Source organism: Homo sapiens, chromosome 5 (genome assembly GCF_000001405.40).
Source record: "Homo sapiens chromosome 5, GRCh38.p14 Primary Assembly".
Classification (NCBI taxonomy): domain Eukaryota; kingdom Metazoa; phylum Chordata; class Mammalia; order Primates; family Hominidae; genus Homo; species Homo sapiens.
Genome location: NC_000005.10, coordinates 62775032 through 62781852, shown reverse-complemented (window position 1 = coordinate 62781852; position 6821 = coordinate 62775032). Strand labels below are relative to the sequence as shown.

General features: G+C 41.0%; 1 pseudogene; it reads left to right on the top strand.

The window, feature by feature from the left end:
* On the top strand, positions 4510–6484 carry ISCA1P1 (iron-sulfur cluster assembly 1 pseudogene 1; annotated as a pseudogene).

Below are 6821 nucleotides of genomic sequence, written 5' to 3'. Positions count from 1 at the left end.
CTGCAAAAAAAAAAAAAAAAAGGGGATTTGTATGCATGTCTATCTCTTCTAGCTGTAGGGCCCAGTGCTAGTGTATAGTGAGCACCCGATTCATATTTCTTAAGTTGTGCTAAATTGTCTTCATTCTCCATTTTCTGACTTAGCAGCACAAACGACCTAAAAACCTCCAAGCACTTTATTTATCTGGGACCTCCTCTTTTGGGCCATAGAGTGAATTATGGTACTGTGCTCACCACGACTCGGCAAAATGATAAAACTTTGAAATATAAGACTTACATCAGGCCGGGCGCGGTGGCTCACGCCTGTAATCCCAGCACTTTGGGAGGCCGAGGCGGGCGGATCACAAGGTCAGGAGATCGAGACCATCCTGGCTAACACGGTGAAACCCCGTCTCTACTAAAAACACAAAAAATTAGACGGGCGTGGTGGTGGGCGCTGTAGTCCCAGCTACGCGGGAGGCTGAGGCCGGAGAATGGCGTGAACCCGGGAGGTGGGGCTTGCAGTGAGCCGAGATCGCGCCACTGCACCCCAGCCTGGGCGACAGAGCAAGACTCCGTCTCAAAAAAAAAAAAAAAAAAAAAGACTTACGTCAAACTGTGCACAGTGGAATATCTCCTGGATTCTGTAAAGGCAGATTGATAATGCAATCATGGTACACCACCACTGATACTGCTCAGCCCTTAAAATTCAGGCTAGGAATGGGAGGAGTGGGATTCCCCAGCTCCGCTCCGCTCCTGCGCTCCCATCGCTTCACCGCTAGGAAGCAGCCTAGCCAGCATTCCCACAGGGTTGGAGCTGGAACTGCACACTGGAGAGTTAAACAGACCAAGCATTCAGTTTCTGCCTCAGGCACTCACTGACAGGGCAAATACAGAAACTTCAATTCCTCGTGTCTTGGTTTTGTCATCTGTAAAATGGGATAACAGCTCTTACCATAGGACCCCTGCAAAGAGTAAATGTATATAAAGGGCTTGGCACCCAGCCTGGCACACAGTAGTGGTGTAATAGATGCCACAACCCTCGTGTAGGGAGAAGAGACGTACAGTGACCCCGAGTGAGCTTGAAGATGACGCTGTGATCAAGCTTGGAGTGGGCTTCCAGGCACACTGGTGTCACCCCGGGCTCTGGGGCCCAAGGCAACACTTCTCAAGCCTTTCTATTGGAACACCACTAACTGTAAAGAGCGGTGAATGTATGCCCTGGGGCCTGTTGGAAGCTTCCAAATTCATTCTTGTTTTGTGGTAAACCTCCATGTCTTTTTAATTTGCTCCCAAGCAAATTTGTCTTGGTTTTAATGTCAAAACAATACGGCCTCCTCCTACATCTCTGAGAAATATGAACCTTTAGGGAGGCGTGCTATAATCATATGGTGACTTTGCTGACCCGTCGGCACCTTCCCCACACGCCTGAGGATACATGTGCCTCAATGTGCTACCACGTGGGACTGCCCTTCCATTAGCATAAGTAAGAGTGTGGGTCCACCTTTGGATATTGTAGCGTCTCATGATTTTTTTTTTATTTTTATTTATTTTTTTTGAGACGGAGTTTCGCTCTTTTTGCCCAGGCTAGAGTGTAATGGCACGATCTCGGCTAACTGTAACCTCCACCTCCCCAGTTCAAGTGATTCTCCTGCTTCAACCTCCCAAGCAGCTGGGATTACAGGCGTGTGCCACCATGCTTAGCTAATTTCATATTTTTAGTAGACGGGATTTCACCATGTTGGTCAGACTGGTCTCAAACTCCTGACCTCAGGTGATCTGCCCACCTCGGCCTCCCAAAGTGCTGGGATTACAAGCATCAGCCACCGCGCCCAGCCAGCATCTCATGATTAATAAATAAAATGCCAAGGCCCTGAAAAACTTTTGGAGAAAATGATTTTCTCCAAATCACAATGTGGGAGGAGATAGGCTAAACAGGGACCAGCTCTCTGAGCACAGCCTACTTTCATCTCTGGTCATAAACATCATAAAAACAGAACACAACACATTCGTGAACAAAGTTAGACCAACCATAATGCCAAAGTGATCTTAACAGAATCACAAATGTCATAGGCACCCTAAGGGAATGTCGTAAGGCATCCCTTAATGTCATAACATTTGAGAGAAGTGCCTGCTGTTTACCAAATACAGGTGAATAAATAAAGGAAATAAATAAATAAATAAATGTGCATCAGTGGCTCAGTTTGGGAATAAGGATGAAGAATTTGCATTCGAAATCCTCATAAAAGTCACATTAACCAAAGTTATGTTTCCATAAGACATAGTATTTGCAGATTGGGTCATCTGTACTGACCCTATGTGGCTGTTTCTGACCAAAAACATGCAGATTCCGACTAGTTCATAGCCCTTAGACAGGAGTAGCTATTGGTAAACATTGTAACAGCTGTAGGGAAATTAGACTTTCTTAATACTTAATATACAGAATGACAATACTACATGTACATATTTTGAAAAAAGAATATATACACTTACAGTGAGACAGTTTCAAACTATTTCGCTGATGAGAGGTACAATGTAAGTTATAAAATAATATCTAAACTCAAATAAGCACTAATATTAAAAGATAACTACTCTTTTACTTTTTAACTAAAATATTCAGGTGATTCTTAAATCGAACTTTAAATGATGTCCATGATATGTAAATCTTAAAAAAAAACAAATGGTATTTTCGTGTCTTGCCACAGTAGAGATGATCAGATACTTACCTCTAGGGGGAGCTCAAGGCTTTGTCTCTACTTAACGTTTTCTGTTTTCCCGGTGTTGCATGACAGAGCCCTTGGGATCTCTCCACTTGGGAAAAGATGCTCCACCCCATCCCTCTCATCCCCTTAAAAAGTTGCAAAAATTTGGGGTGGGAGGAGATGCTCAGGAGAAAAAGAGACTCTGGGAAAACTAATGGGCCAATCTCAGCCCACTAAGTGGTTATTTTTCTCTTTGGGGATAAAGCCTAACCATTATAAACCCAGTGTTTGCCTGGAGGATCCCCTTAGCAAATCCCTCAAACTACCAGTGGCAGCAGTATGAAACTGTGGACATTCATGCCCCATCATCCTTGGCTTCTTAGGATTACTGACTAGCACTCTTAGCACTTGTGGCTATATAAATACCGCTTTAATTTATACCAGCATTTCTCAAAATGGACTTTCAAAGAACACCAGTTTGACTGTAAGTTAGCAAATTTTATGTAAATAAAGGGTTGTCTGTCACAGAAGTTTAGAAAACACTGGGTTAAACTAAGTTCAAAAGTTTTCCTTTGTGCAGGACTTTTCATAGTCTGTAATGCATGATGACTCTCCAAAAGAAGGGACAAGTAGGAAGTGTTTCTCAAGTCTATATGACCACAGGTCTCTCTTTTAAGAGCTTCCTCTTAGGCCTGTTAGAACACTCCCTCAGACATTTTGCTCACGATTGCTGAGGTCGTGGTTAAGAAAAGAAGCACAGATTTGTTTTTTGTTTTTTGTTTTTTTAAACAACTCAGCCAAGTATATTTCAAACAAAAAGGGAGAGTTTGGTCTGAATTATCTGGATATCTGCTTCAATTAGCCATTCTAATTTACATGTACAATGAAAGCCTTGGAGTCCCACCTCCCTGCCATCACCTAATATTGTCTATGATAGGGAACTCATTAGGCCAACAGCATACAAAAATTTGGATTTATACTCAAAAAATGACTATTTACATCACAAAATGAGATTCGCCATAAAACTCCTTAAATCACAGATTCTCCCACCACATTTAAAAAATGATGCTACAAAATAACCATTAAGTTTACCCACTTACACATACTCAGCAAAACTCCTGGCTCACAGAGAGACACAATTGCATGTGGCATTGCACAGTGACCACTGCATTAAATACACACAGATGTAAACCCCTTCTTTTTAAAAGTTTTTCATGTAAGCTTTTTTCAGTAGGACACAAATTTTTTTTTATTATTCTGCCTCACTGTTTTTCTACCACATCTAGGCAAGTACAATCTGCATAAAAAATTGCTAGTCATGCCATTTTGCTACCCAGGTAAGGTATGTTAAGGCCATGTTGCTACTACTAGTCACCGTCTTCATGAGATGGGGTAGCTGGGTGGTGAATACAGTGGTCCTGGGGGAGGTGGATCAGGATCACGGACAGGCCTTTTTAAACTCTAGTTCTTAGGCAACTGCCGTCAGATTCTGCCCTCAGGTGAGAGCCACTGCTCCATGGTGTTCAAATGACAGAAAAAAAGTTGTATCCCAAAGAAATATTAGAGCAGGAAAATTATTACAAATCAGAAATATAGGACTACAGTTTCCAAAGTGAAGTTACATACTCCAGAAAATTTTAAAATAATAGAATTTCTGTTCATACTTTTATCTCAAAAATTAGAAATTAGACTTTCTTAGTATTTAATATACAGAATAACAATACTATATGTATATGATTTGAAGAAAAAAGGAATATGCACACATTTTAGAGAGAGACATTGTCAAACTATTTTGCTAATGAGAGGCACAATTTAAAAGTTGGGAAACCAATGCGCCCGCCGTGTCCGTGGAGAGAGGCTGAGGCAGCCAACCTCCGGCCCCAGGCACCGGGGCGCCGGGACGGCGAAAATGTCGCCTTCCTTAGTCCGGGCAACTGCCCGGGCTGTGAGCAAGAGGAAGCTGCAGCCCACCCGGGCAGCCCTCACCCTGACACCTTCAGCAGTAAACAAGATAAAACAACTTCTTAAAGATAAGCCTGAGCATGTAGGTGTAAAAGTTGGTGTCCGAACCAGGGGCTGTAATGGCCTTTCTTATACTCTAGAATATACAAAGACAAAAGGAGATTCTGATGAAGAAGTTATTCAAGATGGAGTCAGAGTATTCATCGAAAAGAAAGCACAGCTAACACTTTTAGGAACAGAAATGGACTATGTTGAAGACAAATTATCCAGTGAGTTTGTGTTCAATAACCCAAACATCAAAGGGACTTGTGGCTGTGGAGAAAGCTTTAATATTCGAAATCTCAGGACTCTTCTGGCCGTAGGTTCCAGGAAAGCTCGTGGAAGCTTTGGGGCTCACTGCAGAAATCATGTGACTGTCACGTGCTGGAAAATAAAGTGATACATCTTGAAAATGAAGCCAGTGTGTTGGATTCCGGAAGAAATGATATTTGTATTCTCTGTAGGGGACAAAATGAGAAGTCATCACTCTTTTTGGATCATTTAGATCTCTTGCATCCTTTGTTTTAGAACCAGTTTCATTAAAGTTGCCTTCCTGGACACCTGTTTATCCCTTTCCTGAACTGTGTGCACTCCTTAGATCGCTATTGAATGGCTTGAGCTTCCCTCAGCATTTCTCCCAACCAGATCGGCGACTCCTAAAATCCGAGACAGGACGTCCTGACTGCTGGTAGTAATATGGTGGTGCATTGTTTTTTCCACCCGAACTTAACATAGCCTTTTTATACATTTTTATGAAAAATTTCATTGTCAGCTGCCTCATTGTATACCCTTTAATAGTACCAGGCAAAGATTTTCTTCAACTATAGTACAGATTAGTTCTGAGTGATGGTATCAAAAGGTGAGAAAGACGTCATCCACCTGTTTTTTAATCCATTTCTTTTGCCACCCTATATGTCTGTTCAGAGATGGGATCTCAAGCTGACTTTGATTCTTTTAGTTGAGGAGTCTCTTAAAGCCATCTAGCCCACCTCCCTCAATTCCCTATGTGAGGAAACAAAACCCCAGGGAAGCCAAAGGGCTCCTCTCCACCCTGACTCTACAGGCCGGGGGAGAGTAGGGACTCTACCCCTCTCTCCCCTTCCTTGTAGGTGACACATGCTCTGCCCTCTGAGGCAGTCAGCGAAGGCAAATGGTCTGACTGCTTTATGTGGTCAACATTTTAATAGAATTTCTTTATAATTTGATACAGGTTATATTATTTTTATTTTATTTTGAGTGGGAAGAATTTTAAAACCTTTTTATGTGAATTACCTCTTGTTTCTTTCACCTTTGAAACAGTGGTTTGTAGGAGAGATGACATTGTAGCAACCCAGAATTCTGCTTTTGGAATGTGGTCCTCACTGTGCAGGAGAACATGGGGATCTTTTGTTAAAATTCCCAGTGTGCATACACTTTCTGGTTCCTCGGTCCAGTTGCTAAAGTTCTTAGTATTTTAGCCTAACATATTTATCACCAACTTTTCTTTAAAAGTGTTCCTTTTGTCACTTAGTTACTGATTTTCCTGGGTTTGACATATTAAGTATTCTATGAGATGATATATATGCTTTTTTTGAAAGCTGATTCTCATGAATTCAAGTAGCTGAGTTCCTTTATGTTTAGTTTATTCACTAAAGTAGCTGGCACAAAACACACCAAAACCTAGAGCAATAGCTTTATGCAAATGCTCATGAGTTTGTATCAATAATATGATTGTTGGATCCACTTATAATTCATGCAATACTGTATGTATGTAGAGATTGAGTTGTCAATTTAAAAAAATGTGTCCTCTTTGTGATTAAAAAAAAAAGTTGGGAAACAATGATATAGAGAAAATTATGCCTCTGCAAGCATATTTCAGGTTAATTAGACAATAACTTAGACAGATGTGAGCCTGCAATCCAATAATGGTCTCCCATTGTCAAACAAATGTCAAGATAAAACTAAACTTATTTCTGAAATGGTTCCATGTTATTATAAGAACAAATTTCACATTTTATTAACACTGTCACTTGAGTAGCAAATAACAAATTTTGAAACTTGGATAGCAAATAGAGAAGGAAAAAAAATTAAAATTAGGCTTTTAAAACCATTGGGTTCATGATCTGGGTTCTCTGCTCAAAAATATCAGCAACTTGTAAAT